This window comes from Homo sapiens, chromosome 3 (assembly GCF_000001405.40).
Source record: "Homo sapiens chromosome 3, GRCh38.p14 Primary Assembly".
Classification (NCBI taxonomy): domain Eukaryota; kingdom Metazoa; phylum Chordata; class Mammalia; order Primates; family Hominidae; genus Homo; species Homo sapiens.
Window position 1 is genome coordinate 71,025,245 of NC_000003.12, and position 18,774 is coordinate 71,044,018.

An 18,774-nucleotide genomic window follows, 5' to 3' on the forward strand; every position below is an offset into this window, starting at 1 on the left:
ACAACCTTCCTTTCCCATTGCTATTCCTAGAGTAGTGCTTCTCGAACTTTATTACAGATATAAATCCGATTCGGTGGTTCTGGGTGGTGGGGTGGCGCACGACTATGCATGTGGAGTAAGCCCCCAGAGCTGCTGGGCCATGGACCATAACATGAGTACCAAGGATCTTGGGTGTTCCCTGATCTGTATCTGACCTAAAAATGTCTATGCTTAAAGAAACAGTCACAAGGATGCCCTCTTTATAACAAGATGGATGGACATAGATAAATATGTAAGGGGGTGGCACTGGGCAACCTCCCCAAGTAATTGTTGCAAACTCACAGAAATGCTTGCTGGCTCAAAATTATTTAAAAATTAATGCAAGGCTGTATTTCTTTTTTGTTTTTTAAACGTAACAAAACAGGTAAGGCTGAAGGAAGTTAGCACAGGGAAAAGGTCACTTTCTGTTTCTGTTTAACAAACACCAATTTTACATCAGCACAGATCTGTTGGGTGATATGGTCAGTGATTAATGTTTACCAGATATTACACTGATCAAGATTATCCCAGAGTAAACTACTGAATCAATGAGTTTGAAAACTTCACAGTCCCCAAACTCTAGGTCTGCTTTAAGTATCTTCTAAGCCTGGTTCATATCCCTGAGGATGTATGTGAGGAAAAGCAGAGTCACAATCAACTTTTTAGGAAGGTTAAGTGACAGTCTTGAATTTTTCTAAGAAATTAGGGTATACTAGGAAGGCAGGGTTTCCATGCACTTGGCACAGTACCATATTCAGTCAAGGTCCCTTCCCTCTGAAAAATGAGAAAAACCTATGAAAACATACCAACTCATAATATGCACACACTCAGTGGGGTCCACACAATGTCAAATGGAGCAAGAAAGCATACTTTGAAGATTTGCAGATGTATCTTAATTTGTAATGGACTAAAATATATCTAGTGTCTCCAACTTCTGATTTCACAGATATCATTTCTTAGAATGAGGCTCATTTTATTTAAGAAATGACTTGATTTAAAGAAAATAATACAAATAATCACATAAGCAGACAGGGCAAACCTCACAACAATGGGGCGCATATTCAAACGACTCAAGTTTGGAAAAGTAAAAGCTCATAAAGTAGTCCTTGAGGATCCAGTCTGTAGCTGGGTTAACTTCGCAGGTTGACACTGACAAAGTAGCAAGTCTCTGAAGACGTACTTTAATTTGAATTTTCACAGGGGATGGCAGAGCCTCACGGTCGTTCTGGACTTAGGGGTCAAAGACCCACAAAGGCCCCAACAGCACAGTGTAGTGTGTCTGATGCTTTTAGGACTAGAGCTTCTTCCTCCAGATTTAAGGGCATCTCATTTGTAAGCTATCTATGTGACCAGCAACTGGCTGCTTTACCAATGGTAAGAACCTGAGGCTAGGTGCCACGAAAGGTAGTAAGTCTGGCAGTTATTTTCATCACTAACCATGTCACCAATCTCCCCTATCTCCCCCCTTTCCAGCCACACTGGGCAAAATGTGCCATCTTGATTCCCAGATGCCAGGAGTATTTATGTGGCATAGCAGGAGAACGGAGCAGAGAATCAGAGCTGTAGTACTGGAGGCTGGTTGGTGTGCTTGGATCACAATGCAATCGCAAACAGAGCAGGTGATGACAAGCACAAAATGCCTGTATTTGCAAGGTGATGAGTGAAGGAATAAATAAAGGAAAAGAACAACAAGAGGCAGAGGTCCATCTTTTGTTTCTGACACCAGTAAGGGCTATTCTGAGTTTGTAACTAAAAGTTTACCACTGGCAGTATTAACACTGGGATCTCGTTAAGAAAACAGAATGCTTTCCAAAAAGTGGTGTGAGCAACTGTGTCAATACAGACATAGGGATCACTAATCCAAAAGTTATTAACACCATTAGGCAGGCATTCTCATTATGTCAATGCAAGTGTGTTTGCACTGGTGAGTCACAAGGTCTATGTGGAACCTTGTCCATATGTTAGAGGAACCAATGACACCCAAAAAAACCAACGACCGTAAACAAAGTTCCAATATTAATTCTTATTTTCTTCCCCTCCCCAGTATGCTATGGAAGTCAGCAAAAGATTTCTAAGAGTTACATCATACTTCAAAAGCAGAACCATACACAAGGGCCAGACCAGAAAGCAGGAGATGAAGGGACAAGTTAGCCAAAGATACAAAATGGCTCAAAACTATCAGGCACTTGCTTATGTATTTCCTTAGAATTACTCCCTACTTTATGTAATTACATTTATTTCTCTATAGCACAAGATGCCTCATTAACATTCACTGGGTTAAATTCTTCTCTACATTTAATTCAGCAGATTTAATTAAACACCTACTTTGTGATAATCATGTTAGGTTCTTAGATCAGTCTCCAAAACTGGGATGCATATGACCTACATCATATATTTAAGATTTGATATTACATATATGAGTCACAATATTAAGATTTCTGTATACACATATTAATATTAGAACTTGAAAATGTATATATACATTTCTCACCCTCTTAGCCACCAATTTTTATAACATAAGGAATATATATTAGAAACATGTATATAATTAATAAACATACTTAGTAGGGGTACACATTCAACACTTTTATACTGATGGGTAAAAAATCAAGTTTGGTGGTCACTGGCATTGACTGCAACTTTAAGTAAGTTCTCATCCTCGGAAAGAGTTCTACCCAATTCTCTAGTTGGGGAGACAGTGATAACTGAACAGATGGCTGGAACATAAAGTACTGTAACATTTGATCTGGGCCTTAACGTATCAGTAGGAGCTCAGGTGATGAAAGGAATAGAGTGAGAGCAGAGAACCGAAGCACACACACAAAAAATCTAGGAAGACAAAACCAGAGCCCTGATGAATGAAATTAAGGCCAAAATTGAAATTTTTTTTTTAAATTTTGCTCCATAAAATAGCTTATATTGGGCCACAGTCTTGAGAATTTTTCTCTCTGAAATGTTGAGTCTTGGCTCTGAAACCTGTATTTTCCTAAGTAATGGTAATCCAGATCACTTATCCGTCACTTTGAACTTCGGTAGAATGCCACACCATAAGGATACCAGGTGGGGACGTTGTAAGGCAGTGGTTCTCAGAGTACGGGTCTGGAACTTGTAAAAGATGCAAATGTGGGGGCCCCACCCCAATTTACTGAATCAGAAACACTAAGGGTGGGGCCCAGTAGCCTGTATTTTAGCCATTCCTCCAGGGGGATTCTGAGGCAAGCTAAAGATTGAGATGTACTTGTAGCAGAAACTTAAGTTTTCTCATGGTTTGGAGCAGCTACAGGTATCGACAACAGCTAACCAGGTTCTCTTACAGAAGTGCTCGCCAACCTTTTTGGCACCAGGGACTGGTTTCATGGAAGACAATTTTTCCAGGAACTGGGGGGCAGGGAATAGTTTCGGGATGATTCAAGCACATAATATTTATCATGCATTTATTTCTATTATTATTACATTGTAACATATAATGAAATAATTTTACAACTCACCCTAACGTAGAATCAGTTGGGAGCCCCGAGCTTATTTTCCTACAAATATAGACAGTCCCATGTGGGGGTAATGGGAGACAGTGACAGATCATTGGGCATTAGATTCTCATAAGGAGCACACAACCTAGATTCCTTGCATGTGTGGTTCACAATAGGATTCACGCTCCTGTGAGAATCTAATGCCTCGCTGATCTGATAGGAGGCGAAGCTCAGGTGGTAATGTGAGCGATGGGGAGCGGCTGTAAATACAGATGGAACTTCACTCACTCACGTGCCTCACCTCCTGCCGTGTGCCCTAATTCCTAACAGACCATAGACCAGTACCAGTCTGTGAACTGGGGTTTGGGGACCCCTGTCTTACAGCACCTGTGGCCAAAGAGTGGCAAGTATAGAAGTACTCTTAATGGGTTCTTGACCTTTGACATCTCATTAGTTCACTTTCTTCTGAACATTTCATGTAGTCTCTGCAATGAAATTTAGGGCCTACTATATGCCAGGCTGGCTTGTGCTGGGTGATGGGGATGTGGCAATGGACAAGAGAGTTAAAACCTTTCCCTTACAGCATTCATTGTGTTAGAAAATCTCATGTGAGGCAGATGTAGGGGGAACATACACACACTATGATGTTCCACTAGTGCTCTTTTTTTTTTATTTTTTTGAGACAGAGTCTTGCTCTGTCACCCAGGCTGGAGTGCAGTGGTGTGATCTCGGCTCACTGCAACCTCTACCTCCCGGGTTCAAGTGATTCTTGTGCCTCAGTCTCCTGAGTAGCTGGGATTATAGGCATGCACCATCATGCTCAGCTAATTTTTATATTTTTTGTAGAGACAGGGTCTCACTATATTGCCCAGGCTGGTCTCAAACTCCTGGCCTCAAGTGATCCACCCGCCTCGGCCTCCCAAAGTGCTGGGATTGTAGGCATCAGCCACCACGCTGGGCCCATTTTTAACAAGTCATGCCCTCTGTTACGTTTTGCATATACTTCTATCACCATAGTTATTAATAATACATTGACTTTCAAGTGTCTGTTTCTATGTTTGTTTTTCTGATTAGCTGTGAGTTCCTGAAGGGGAAGAACTACATTGTGGTCATCTTTTAATTCCCAGAATCTACAGAGTTATTATATAATACATGCTCAATACGTGTGGTATGAATGAATAAATAGCTTTAATAATAATTAACAATAAGTTAATATTTATTGAGGACCTACTATGTGCTCAGCAACTAAAACATATATTAACTCATTTAATCCTCACAATTTGATCTAAGACGAGGTAAGGGCTGGTAGCATACCCGATTCAGGGGTGGGAAACTGAGGCACACCAAGCTCAAGTAACTTAAGTAGAGCAGCCTGCATTCTTCAGTCCAGTCTTTGAGGTTAAACTGGGTTAACTAGGTTAAACCCTTCTCTACCTTTAATTCAGCAGATTTTATTAAACACCTACTTTGTGATAATCATGTTGGGTTCTGATAGGAGGCTAAATACCACCAAACAACACAGTGGCCTGACATGAAACCAGTATGGTCCATAACGCAGCCAAATATCTTCTATGCCTGCCTCTGCTTCAGGGCCTTTGCTTCTGATGTGCCCTTAGATTGGAGGGGGTCTTCCCTTTCTTATTCACGTTTGTTCCAGGGCCACCTACAGGCTTTGCCAGACCAACTTACCCCAACAGTAACCTCAGCCCCACAAATAATACTTACTCCCTTTCCTACTTTTTCTGTTTCCAGAACTTAACCGTTCTTGTGTAAATGATTTGTTTGTTCTATTTCCCTTCTACTGCAGTGTCAGCTCCCTGAGGACAGGCTGTGGAGCTCACAGCTACATTCCCACACTAGGACCACACCTGGCCTGTGGTTTGAGCTTGGTAAGTTTGGTTGAATGGATATACCTTGGAAGTGTCCTGTGACTTCTGTCCCACTGAGGAACACATTTTTTCTTGCACTTTGGACAACTTCCCATTTATCCTTGTTGAGTTTCTTTTTATTTCTGTCTGTACAGTCCTCTAATTTATTCAAACGCCACTGGATTATTCCAGCTCTTGGTGTCAATTTTTTTCTAATTAAAGTAAACTGCCATTTTTCTCTCACACTGATCTTTAACACGAGACATCTTGTTCTTGTCATAAATCTGACTCATATGGAAAAATTTAAGTTGAATATAGGGGCTCATATGTACCACAATGTTTCTATCAATATTTCAGACATGAAAGTAGAGTCACAGACATAGATATCCGCCTGATTCTCAGGTCTATGGTCATGATTTCGGTGGAGTGTTCGCTTTTTGGATGTATGACCCAGAATTCCACTGATTACTAAAATGACTCCTTTGAAAGCAAATATCACATCATTTGCACAAACACTTCAGGTTTCCTCTTTCCTTCTGCCATAGTACATCTTCAAACACTCAACATTCACAGCCAAGATGTAAAATACACAATACACAAAAGCTCCTTCAAAGACATATCTCAAAGTACTGTAAAAAAAGCAATGGAGAGAAAGAGAGAGATCGGCTTGCCATTAGACTGATTTCCTTGAAGACTATAAAAGGAATGAAATTTGAAGGTCATAAAAGTCTGTCTATTTGTTTAGGGAAGTCTTACAGGTAGTATAAATATCATCAGCTACAGTTGCTATGGGGTCTGTTTGTTTACCAAACAAGAACACAAATAGTTACACAAAAGCAGAACAAGCCTTGGGTATATAAATGGAGAAGGCTTTTTGCCTCCTGGTGAATTTTCCAAAGTGTCTTTTTAAAAAGTCCCTATTTTTCACCCTGTGCACTGGGAAATCTCTGTTTTCTTGATTCTTTGCACTTCTCACACCTCCAGCCAATGTTTTACTCTCAGATTTCTGAGGCGGATAATGATTTTCTTTTTTCTTTCTCTTCTTTCATTTTAAGACTTAGAAACCACAAATATTAGACCAACAATCCAAACTGGACAACCAAAATAGTTTTCACAATGGAAAATGCTAAACAAACAAACAAACAAACAAAAAACAAAAAAAGAGGTGGGGAAGAGAGAGCAAGAACAACAAAACCCACTAATTTCTAGAAGAATCCTAGTACAAGTATGGAGTCCTTATGTTAACACACAACCACCCAGCCAGAAAGGTCCATGTGGATGTGTGTTTTTAACTGACTTTCTATGAACCAAGTGTGTTTCATGCACTAGAATTGTACCTGCTGAGTTAACCACGTGCTTCAAAAAATAAAGGGGGAGGAAAGGAAGCCAGCAAGGCTATTTTCGCATCTCTTCTTGGTTGAGAGAGTACATGTGAGTGTGTGTGCGTCATAACTCAGATCTACAATAAAACAAACTGCACAACAGAGGCTGCCTGAGTGGAGGCCTGCTCTTCACACTACATTGACCGCAGTACCCGCCCGGCGCAGCCCCGATGCCTTCCTGTGAATGGGACAGATTGCCATATGGATGAAGACACTGAACAAGCTGTAAAACTCTTGGCGACATGTGCCCGGGGGGATTGTCCCATATTAACACCACCTGGGCTGTGGCAATTGTGCTCTGTCTGTGCAGTGGCACTGAGGAGCCCAACAGGATGTTATTTTAGAGTACACACAAAAAGGAAAATTACAGTTAAGAGAATTCTCTGGCTAGCGTATCTGTTGCTCAATTCCCGAAATAGTTTCCCAAAGGAACGGTTATCTTCTTTATTCACACAGGCAGAAGTGACAAGCTGGAACACATATTAACAATTTCCCTTTGTGAGCTTCCACTATTGTTTTAATGAGGAGAATATAGTTTATAATATACTTAGGCCTTGACTGATTACAAAGGGGTATGGAATAAAGAACTTCAGGAATGCTGTACATATCTAACGCACTCATTTGCATTGCCCCAGTGAGCCAGTCGGCAGAGAGGTAGCTCCCTCGGAAAGACCTATGGAGCCAGGCCACGGGGTAACACTGGTGCGAACACAGCAATAAAACAGAATAACTGCACAAAAAAGCATCTTTGCAAATCTTGAAAAGGAACATGACATCCGCTTAAGTCTCCAGCATAGGTCCCCCCTTCATCTGGCTCCAGTATTGGCTTAAGAGCATAAGACTCCCAGCTGTCATTTATTATAAGAATAGGACTTTTCCAAGCCCCTTTTCCTCTCAAAGGGAAGGCCCTTGACTTCCCTTTGCACTTTTGGTTGGTTTCAATATCCATCAAAGAAAATCTTCTGTCTAATTTAAGTGGTGAAGGTGTGCAATTCAACAACAACTTTTTATAGGTAAAAGAGTAAAACCGAGTACCATGGACAATACCATCAGAGTTTCCAAAAGGCTGGTTCTCACTCTTCTCCTGCCACATGCTTTCCCTCACACCCCTGGTGTGGAATAAATGTTAAGGAAAGCTAAGACACAATTGGGAGGAGGGGACACAGGCCTTTCCACTCAAGCGCAAATACTTGCAAAATGCCTGGGTGCCAACAAAGGAATTTGGCAGAGAACCTGTATCAGCGGCAGCGGCGCATCAAAAAAGAATGTCTACCTTACAAGGTGAAAGAAATGGGGGGTCCAAAGATGGTTTTGGGTGGGAAATCTGGCACATTAGACACGGAATAGCCTGTGGCTGAGATTCATATTATACAACATCCTAATAAAAAAATTCAAATCAACCAAATTTAAGAGTAACTCAGAAAATGAACATCACTCTCCAGACCCATGATGTCATTTTATTGGAAAGCATTTATCATTTAAACACAATAAATAGAAAGAGATTTATAGAGTCTAAAGATGCTGTGTTATGGTAAAAGGCACTTTATTGAGGTAAGGCACAACAGCTGTTAGAGAATAATGGCTGAGGTTTTTTTGTTTAATCACCCCACAAAGTGAACAGTCAAAAAAAAAAAAAAAAAAAAAAAAACAACCCATAAACCCTTCCCTTATGGCATGCCAATATTTTAAAGATTTTCTCCCGGTGCCCTCCCTGCATGTGTGAATGACAGGCGGTGATACGGCACCATGCCACATGGCCCTGAGAGAATCCTTTCTCCCACTTCTAAGTCCCAAAAGTGATTGGTTTTAAGCAATCAGACACATCACAGTTCTTCAAAGCACGATGGCTGCCAAACAACAGGCAGCATGTTTAGGGTACAAAATGCTGATTCGCCCCCAGGGTGCTTCTGTCTGACCTCAGCAGGAACAGCTTTTGCCCTAAGTAGGTTACCTCCCCGACAGATAGACATGGGACAGGTGATGCTGCCAAGAGTCTGCTTTGGAGCAAAAATAAGTACCTGTATCTTAGGCCTCTGCAGTTAGCCACACCTGGTCCTCTTTCCGGTCCCCTACACCTGACAAGACATGCCCAGCACGCCCTCTATATTCTCCACTGTGCGTCACTGGTTTCTAACCTCCTGACTTCCCTGCCAGCAAAAAGATGAGGTGGGTGCAAAGGAAACTGGCAACGGGGATTTTCCTGGGGGCTTCTTCTAAATTACTGCTGAAAAGATAGGTCTGGCCCCAAGCTACAACCAGTGGAGGCTACCATCTGGACTTGATCCGGAGCTTAACCCACTCTGTAGTCCAATTCTCATCAAAAGTCTGGGCTGTAGTGAAGGTGGTCTGGGGAGCAGCCCACTGGGAGCCACCAGAATCTGGCAGTCACTGCAAGTCCCTGAGGGTCAGGGAAATCTCAGGTCTAGTCCCTGTATGGTCACTAACTAGCTATGTGACGTGTGCAAGCGATAACATCATTCTGGGCCCCAGCTGCACCCTCTGTACAAAGGGGAGAATACCCCATAAGGTTACTATGAGGATTAAATAGGAAAATCAAAAAATAAAAATAAAAAATAAAAAAAATTAAAAATAGGAAAATCAGTATAGTATCAAGCCCTATGTCAAGTCTGTTGAGCATTGTGTCTGGCACACAGTAAGAGTTACATAAATGTTAGCTGCATTCTCATCACCACCATCACATGTCAGGTCCTTTCATCCTTGACAAGAGCAAAACAGAACCTTAAATTTGTGTCTCTTGCCTGTGATCACAGAGCCAAGGAGTGGGTCTCAAGTCAAGGTCTCGTGGTAGCTCCTAAGGAAAGGAAGCAAATGGGGTCTGGTCCCTTCAGTCATATGATTTCTACTCTGTTGGCTCACGTAAGAATGGCAAGTCACTAGTTTTGAGGACTGAACCTGTCTGGTGGCTCCCCAGTGGGCTGCTCCCCAGACCACCTTAACTACAGCCCTGACTTTTGATGAGAACCTGTCTGGGATGTGAATCAAGTGTCTGGAGAAAAGTCCTGTTCTTTCCAAGTGTCAAAACCTCAGTGATAAACACACAGCTTCCATTGCTTCTCAAACTTGAACATGTATTCCAAACCCCTGAGGCTCTTGTTACAATGCAGATCCTGATGCAGGTCTGGGGCAGGGCCAGAGACTGAGTTTCTAACAAGCTTCCAGGTCACAGCAGAGCTGCTGGTCTGCAGCCTCTGAGTAGCAAGACTCCAGGGTATGTAGGGCAAATGCAAATTCCTGCACCCCATCTCAGACCAAGAAAGTCCAGGTTTCAGAAGAAAGGCCTAGGAAGCTGTGTGTTTAACAAATACCCTATGAAAATATCATCAGGGAATCTGAGAAACACCAGGCTAATGGTGAAGGTCAGGGGTCAGCAACTGTTTCTGTAAATGGTCAGATAGTAAATATTTCAGTTTTCGTAGCCTATATGGTTTCTGCTGCCACTACTCAAGCTTGCCATTGTAGTGTCAAAGTAGCCGTAGACAATACGTAAATGAATGTGACTGTGTCCCAATAAAACTTTATTTACAAAAGGAAGCAGTGGGCTGGATTTGGCAGGCTGACCATAATTTGCCGAGCTCTGTTATAGTGTTATAGATTGTTTAAATGCCTTGACTCATGTTGGCAGGAAGTAGCAGTTAACAATTTTGAAGACAATTTGGTGGAATTTGACCACAGGTTCTCCAAAATGCTCTAACGGGGAAGAAAGATTTAAAATAACTAGCTTGCTCAGTATTTCAAATCAAAATAAATACAAATTGTCCTCTGATTTTTGGGGAAAAAAAAAAACTGAAATGAGGAAAAACTCTTCAAAATAATGGGAGCTAGAGTTTACTGCTTAAATTTCAACAGGTCCTACATATCACAGAACATGCACCAGTTAAAGGCTTGTGTATCTGGAACAGTTCTGAAAACTAACTTCTAGAATTTTAGCAAGTAAACCAAGAGCACTGACATTTATTCACAAACACAGAATTTAGTTTAAAAAAGAAAAAAAAATGCAACACTAGACATGTACATGTTTCAAAGTTCCTTGCCTTTTGAAAATAACAAGGCCTGTAAACACAAATGTTATTGTTACATAGTCAAATACATGGCAACATGTCAAGAGGCCACAAATCAAAAACAGAGACTGTGTATCAAGTGAAACTGTCTATAAGTACACTAGCCAGGCGGAAACCTTCAGGGGTTATTTGAAGGCAACTGCCAACTGTGGAGTGGAGAAAATGCAAGCGACAGTAATACACAGGGCTCCGTCAATAAATGATGAGAACGAGGCAAGGACTATCGTGACTGAAGAGAGCATAGGTTAAACCTCATAGAGTAAAGCGCCCAGTGTGCGTCCCCTGTTTCTAATATGATACCTCAAAAAAGCAGAGACTGCCCAACCACCATCTGATCAGGGTTTAAGGAAACATCTTTGACCAAATGCTTAAGGACACCTTGGAACAAATACTTAGAACAGCTATGAATCCGAGAAATACTCGAGTTATAAAACATCTAATGATGGTGGCTGAACTGAAAGCAAAAAAGCTGGGATGAGAAAAAAGGGAATATTTCTGATTTGGACTATAGAGGACAGCTGAAATGAAATAAAAAGCATATGATGTGTTCATTGAGGAAACACAGGATTTATAAGGCAGGAAAAAAGTGGGGATACGTTATTTTGGATCTGCCTGTGTGTAAATCCCCCATGAGGTTCATTTATGTTCTTTATGTGCTGTTTCAGACCAAAATGATTTATAGCTTGTAAATCCCACCTATCCCGCTTCATGAAAGGCCTGGTAAATATGAATATACACCATAAAAGAGAAAACTCTGGTATTTTCTTTTAAACGCAGTGATTTGCACACAGTAGGTTAACTTAATACGTGTTTTGTCAAATTGAATTTCAATTAAATTTAAAGTATCTTTTAGGGACACTCATTTTATCGTAATTTAGTATTCACTTCTATGCTGAATGAAAACTTTAAGTACTATTTTGCAGACTAAAACACAGATCTGAATTTGGATCTTGGATATGCCACTAACCACCAGTTCTATGACCCTGGGTTAGTTATTTAATTTCTATTATTCGATTTCCTCATCTGTAAAATGGGTATAATCATCCTTACTGCTTCCTGAGTGGTCAGGTGGATAAAATGAGACATCACTCCATATGCAAAAGTCTAGCCAGTGCTTGGCACAGAGAAGGAACTGATTAAATGTGAGTTCTTGTCCCTTTCCCTAGTGCACCATAATGTAATGTGATATTTCAAATTTTAATTTAGGCAATTACTTAAGTAGTAATTGCTATTAGTATTTACATAGCTGCTTTGATCCAAGAAGCTCAAAGGGCTTTACTAAATTTAGCATTTTAATAGATGTTTCATTTGCATTCTGTTGATTCTGTTTACCCACACCAAAACCTGGAATTTTCTAAAGCAAGACAATTAGACAGGGAAACAAGACAGTATCTTCATATGTACCGGTATCCCAGGCCTGAGTTTTGTCTGTTTCCCTAAGAAGTCGAGACTCTCTGTCCCTATGGAATAAAATGACAGCAAGAGGCTTGAATGCACCTGCTTCCTCTTGCTGCTCCCCCTTAGCTGCGCCATTGAACTTGATCCCCACCACACTTTTCTCAGGCACTGACAACACAGGCATGTTTATTGCACCAATGAATTTATATACAATCAGCACAATAAACATTATTAAATTGTCGGAGAAAATCAAAGCACGAAGCATGGTGCCAGTACTGAATTCTAATGATGCTGAATGTCCATGATTACACAGGGACAGGATCTTAACAAGCCTTGATTTGAACGCTGGCATCCGCCTCACAAATCACATGGGCCGCTCCTCCCGTAATAGTGCTGAATATTGATAAATGTCTCTACCCTGCGCAACAGGGAAGTGGGTTTCTATTGGCAATCTTTACCAAAGTGTGTTTTTTCCCTTCTCTACACTCAAGGGTTTACCCTGAATGATTTAATTATAATTTTCCTTGTGTAAGACAAATTAAAGAGGAGAGTAGGAGTGTCGTGCCAAGCACATTATTTATCTCCTTAACAGATTGCAGCTCACCAAACCCCAGAGCTGCTGCTACTGCAGTGGCTGCTCACAGGAGCCAGCAAAATGCACGGGGGCAAGAGTGGGGGAGAAGGAGTTTTCCAAATGGCATGGAAATACATATGCAACTCAGTTGAGATCATTAGCCATCTCACTACTTTGAAAACAACAGTAACTCTCACAACACTACCTTTTTCCAGCAAATTTTCCCATCGAGCACCCCCAGATCATGTCAGAAAGAAATCTTAAAGCTGCTAACCCACGATCAAGGTCATGGGGTCAGATAGTTATTCAGTGTGGCAGAGACTCTTTCCTTGCCCATCAGAATGGAGGGAAAAGAATATTACACAGAAATCAAAGAAGAGCTTGGAAGGACACGTATTTCACAAATGCATTGATGAGTAAGAGAGAAAACTTATCCAAGGCAGTGACAAGAGACTCCTGAGACAACTGGCACATCAGTGTACAGTGAGACCATACCTTTATAGTGACAGCTTTGTTTTGGTATTTAACTGGTTATCACACGTGATTTTTAAATTAAGCCTAATAAGGTAATGCTACATAATATGCATTTGAAGTATTTATATGTATACGAAGCTGGCTAACTAATCATTGCTTTTTTTTTTTTTTAATTAAGAGACAGGATCTTGCTTTGTTGCCCAGGCTGGAGTGCAATGGTGTGATCATGGCTCACTGCAGCCTCAAACTCTTGGGCTCAAATGATCCTCCCACCTCAGCCTCTCAAGTAACTGGGACTTCAGGTGCATGCCACCATGGCAGGCTAATTAAAAAAAAGTTTAATGGAAATTGGGGTCCCTCTATGTTGTCCAGGCTAGTCTTGAACTCCTGGCCTCAAGCAATCCTCCTGCCTCGGCCTCACAAAGTGCTGAGATTACAGGCATGAACCACTGTACCAGGCCTAATTGATTTTTTAATTATCAATTCCACAAGCTTAAACTGAACTATCTTTAACTGAAGGTGCTCATTTGTCTTGATGGCTACATTCAGTTAAAATGTGCTGACTGGAATTTTCTTTTAATCCAGCCACGTTTAGGAACCTACTAGATAATACAAACTGAGAGATTCAAGAGATTAAGTAGTGGCATATAATTTCATAGTTGCTTCTTTTTTGCATGTACAATTGGAAAACTCAGCCTGCTTTTACATCCAGATTAAGGCTCATTGGAATCTGAATTCTTTTCTGATCCATATTCTAATTCTGGTGTGTAGTATGATGAAGATTAAGCACAACTTTTGTGCAGACAAATAAGGACCATAAAAAAAAATTCAAACAAACTTAGTCTCCCAGAATTAGACTGTCTCTCAGATCCACTTACTTTCAAATGTGCCTTAAGACATGAAAAGGGCTATTCTTCTCCCACTTGCCTCCTTGCTAATCTATCACCTGACTGCAGATACATAACCTTTTAGAAAATGAAACTGAGCACAGCGCATCTAAACAAGAAGAGTTTTCTATGTCACAGGAAATCTGTGCAGGCTCCACAACAGCCGATGAGATTGCCACAAATACCTTAAGTGCATCAGTCGGCGTTTTTCAGTGTATGGCCTCCTGCTCTGCCTATGGATAAAGATGTAATTCAATCGCTCTGCAGCAAATGGACGCATCAACCTTAGGGCATCAAAACCAAGTATAGCAAAGGACAACAGCCTAGAACCTTTTCTTTAATGCTCTCTAAGGTTTTCTTTCTTGAAAAAAAAAAAAAAAAGAAGACATCATAAGAGATTGTAAAGCAAGAGCTAAGATTGGCTTCCAGACATACATATCTATCCTTGCCAGAAACAACAGAAGCCACATTTCCCTCAATGGCTCCAAAGATTGTCAGTGTCCACCATTCTATTCCTCTATCTATTCTTCAAACTCTTCCAAACCAACATGCTTAATGCATCTTTTAGTTCTTCGGTGTCTGCCTCAGAAATTCCAAAATGACCTTGGAAGGATAGTTGAAAATTTTAGTTAAAACATATGTATTATCCTCAACTCTGGTAACCACTCATGGTTTTACACTTGAACATGGTGTGTGTGTGTGTGTGTGTGTGTATGTATGTATCTCTGTGTGTGTGTGTGTATCTGTGTGTGTGTGTGTGTTCAGATAATATTTTTCTGGTATAAAGATACACATCTAATTAAACAGTAGGCTTCTTAAATACTCAATATTTTGAGAAATATATGAAATTACATTTGTAATTGCATAACTGAAATATATAATTAAATGTTTTTTCACTGAGCCATTTTTATTAAAAAACACAATACAGAATTTGCTTTCTCCTGAGAGAAATGGCATTTACTGTCACATACTACTTTTACGGTTTCTTTACCTCTGTGTGTGGAAGCTCTGCCTATGAAATATATAGAAAACAGTTTAGGAATAGCAAACAAAAAGTTTTCAATTTTAGGGGCATTGTATTTTCTATTCTTGAAAAGCACTTCAACAGTGGTATTAATGCTTCTGGGTACTAAGAATACCATAACATGAATTAACAGCTTTATTTTCTTAGAACTGCATGCTAACATGGCATATTCTGGATCTCTAAAACAAGCTCAGCTTCAAGTAACATTCATGTAAAGCCCAGGGCAATTCAAAAATAAAATGTCTTAACTTCTAAATAGGAATACAGCTGCTGAGACAATACTACACTATATCCCACAATGAAGAGAAAGTGTGCTGTGTCTGTTTATGTGAGTATATACAACAGATCCCCCACCTCCACCAGCCACCACCACCACTACCTCTTCTGTCTCTCCATCCTCCAAACCTTCACTCAGAATACATACGGGAAAGACCATGTGCTCCAGGGCACAATGATGAAAAACATGGGCGCCCAGCCTTCAAGGGGAGCAATGTAGAGTAACATAAGTTCTATGTTTTCTCAAACCATAATTCAAAATTGCCCACAGCAGACACTACTATTCCCTTAGAAGGCACTTCCAGCCAAGGAATTCAGCTTGTACGGAGTGAGCACTTGGCAGAAGGAGTAGGCCTGGAAGCCTGGAAATCCAACCCATCCAATGAGAAACTACACGACTTCTGCCCGGGTTCCTAAGCTGAGAGTAGATCTACATAAGTGCTAATTCCATGTTGAAAAGGTGAAAATAATTAGATGCTTCACACCCAAACCATACTGAATACATTCCTCAGTAATTATATGCACATTCAAGTCACATGGATCCAATTAGGGATCACTGAGATATGACGAGGCAGGGCCACCCACCCCTCTCATGTTAAAGGCAGTTTTGGACCCATCTCAGTGGCTGGTTCCTACCTTTCCCTTTTGGGAGTGTGGACTGAGAGCTGTCCATTGGTAGAGGCATGTGGGTTCATTATTAAGGAGGTCTTGGAAGGTGCAGAGGAGGAGACACATGTCGTGGTCAGATCCAAACTGCTGTGATTGTTGCCTGTGGTTTCTTCTGCAGTATGAGCACTTGTCACTTCTTTCCAGAGCTGCTGCAGTTCTGTTGGAATCATGCCTGAAACAAACAAATTGGATAATTAAATCAATTAACAGCTAATTCCGTCCTCTTCAAACAGCAATTAAATCAAAGAGTCAGTAAACAAAGCCTAGTGTTAGGGGGGTTTTTCGGTGTGTGCAGTTTTTTTTCCCCTCCCAACTACGGCAGATGCGGTAGTAAAAAGTGTGTCCTCTTACCGAGCAACTGAGTGGAAGTTGCCCTCATCGCACATAAAAGACTCAGGTGAAAGTGACTCAAAACACAGTTACTTTGCCACAACAGTATGCCTCTAACCATCCCAAGTGTTATTTCTCAATTTTGATGAAAAGTAGATAGATGTTACCTTAGTTTTAGACACAAAGAAGGGCTCAAAATAAATTTGTTCAACTATACTATTATGACAACATGAACTACAAAATGAATAATTTTTGTGCTTAAGTCTTAAATGATGACAAATAGCTTTGTTATTAAATATAGTTTTTATTAATCACTTTTAGACATAAATTATGAATTCATATCGTCTTCCTGAAATGCTTTTCAACTTTTAACAGTCAAATTGATTATACTATGATTATTTCATTAACACACCTATCTTCCTCATTAATTTTGGTTTCTAGTACCACATGCTTAATTGATGGATGTGTCTACTGAAAAACTGTGTAACTTTTTATACAAGTAACACTATTATTACTGTCATTTCTTAGATCAATGGTAATGAACCATTGCAGAATAAAATGCAAACGTAAAATAAACTTACAGTAATGAAGTTCTCTTGTTTTTTTAAAGGGGATCTAAATGGACATGGGTTTTAAGGAGTGAATCCAGTATTTTCCCCCAAGAAGAGATACAATCAGTATGCCAATCTCACTATTGTGGGCCTCTTCGTCTTTATCCTGCTGGCATGCCTCTGTAGCCCAGGTTTCCAAATCCCACCTCAATGCATATTCTAGCCCACACATGCACAGAATAAAGATATTCTAGATGACAACTAACAAAAACAACAACAACGACAACAAGCAACAAAACTTCCTTTGGAGGAACACCGAAAAGAAAACATAAACCCTGCACATCCTAAGGCAATACCACATTAGAAGTGGACGTCTGGATTGCAGTTCATTGTTTCAATCAAGTGTAACACAGCCATCCCAGAAAGCCTGCCATTTTCTGACTATATAGCAGCAGCTGAAACAGGCATGTTTCTTACCAAACCTAAGGTATCGAATTAAAAAAGAAGGCTGTGTGCATTATATTCATTTGAAACACATAATAAAAAATGCCAAGGTCTAAATTTAATTTATTTTTGTCATTTAGAATACAATGGATAGATAATCATCTCAACGTGATCAGCCAAACATCTTTACTTTGCTAAACTGTTAAAGATTTTAATTATGCTAGCATTGGAGAGCACTGGTCTAATGAGGCGATGGACTCCAGAGAATCCGAGTGGTTAAGAACTGTGAAATGAGTCTGATAGGATTTTTTTATATTCACCGTGGATCGTTTGCATATCAAAGAGGAGTAAATTATTGCACAGCAGACCAATAACCTTCCCCGCCTTTCTGAGAGGAGCGTTAACAAAAACAGTTGGTCCCTCCTAACGGTTCTCCACGAAAATGTTCAAATGCTCAAGCATTTGCAATTAATATATATTATAAAGGAGGCTTCAAATGATACATTAAGTGGTCAGATATTCTTAGGAGGCATCCTCGACAGACAAGTCGGTTTTCTTCTCCCTTCATAAAAATCAAATGCCAATTATATTTTGATGGATTTTGTCCCAAATGAGCATTTAGTTATTAGGCATAGTCAATTATTACTTGTCCCCTGAAATTAAGCCTCAGAGGCAAATTAAACAAAGGGGAAAGGTCACTCCACAACCCCATGTCCGGTTTTGCTGCATCTGAACTATTATTTTCCAACACCTTTCGAAGTGACAGGTGGGATGCGTTTGTAGCTAGCAGGCCCGCTACTGTTGTCTGCACACCAACAATTACCTGTGAACATGGGTGACCCTCAGACCACTGTTTACTCAATGGAAACAATAGTTAATAGGCTTGTCTGTTGATGATGGCATACTGATATAAAACCACACAAGTCAACATCTATTTTTATTTTCTAGAGAGTAAACACATGAAAAGAACAAGCCACCTATTTCTCAACTCAAACTAAATGATTTCTGGGTCAGCTGCATGGGAGGTGGGAAGACTAGGACAGGGTCCTAACAACTGTGTTAACTCCCGCTTTCTCTCGAAGAAAAGCAGAACTTTGATGCTGTTTTAAAAGTAAGCTGTTTATCCAGCAAATAAAGACAAAGACAAATGTATTTACCACTTGTTATACCTACAGGGTGCATTAATGTTACTCTACTCTCCCATCTATTCCAATGGGCTGGCAATCAGTTCCATTATCCATAGAGAAAAATGGTAAATAAAAATAGTAACTCATTAAGTGACAACAGCGATACTTCTGGGTCAAACTGCAATGTGATAATTACTTTTAAGAAC

At 40.3% G+C, this 18,774-nt stretch overlaps 1 protein-coding gene across 18 annotated transcripts in view; it reads right to left on the bottom strand.

Annotated features, from left to right (window-relative positions):
* FOXP1 (forkhead box P1) overlaps positions 1-18,774 on the bottom strand; it is a 629,271-nt gene that overhangs the window by 70,537 nt on the left and 539,960 nt on the right. For all 18 annotated transcript variants that reach the window (NR_146143.3, NR_146142.3, NM_001244810.2 and 15 more), the window contains one exon: positions 16,084-16,288. Coding sequence is in view for 16 of the 18 variants with exons in the window: in NM_001244810.2 (NP_001231739.1) it covers positions 16,084-16,288 (205 nt within the window). In the remaining 2 variants the exon portion in view is untranslated. The remainder of the gene's footprint in view (positions 1-16,083; positions 16,289-18,774) is intronic.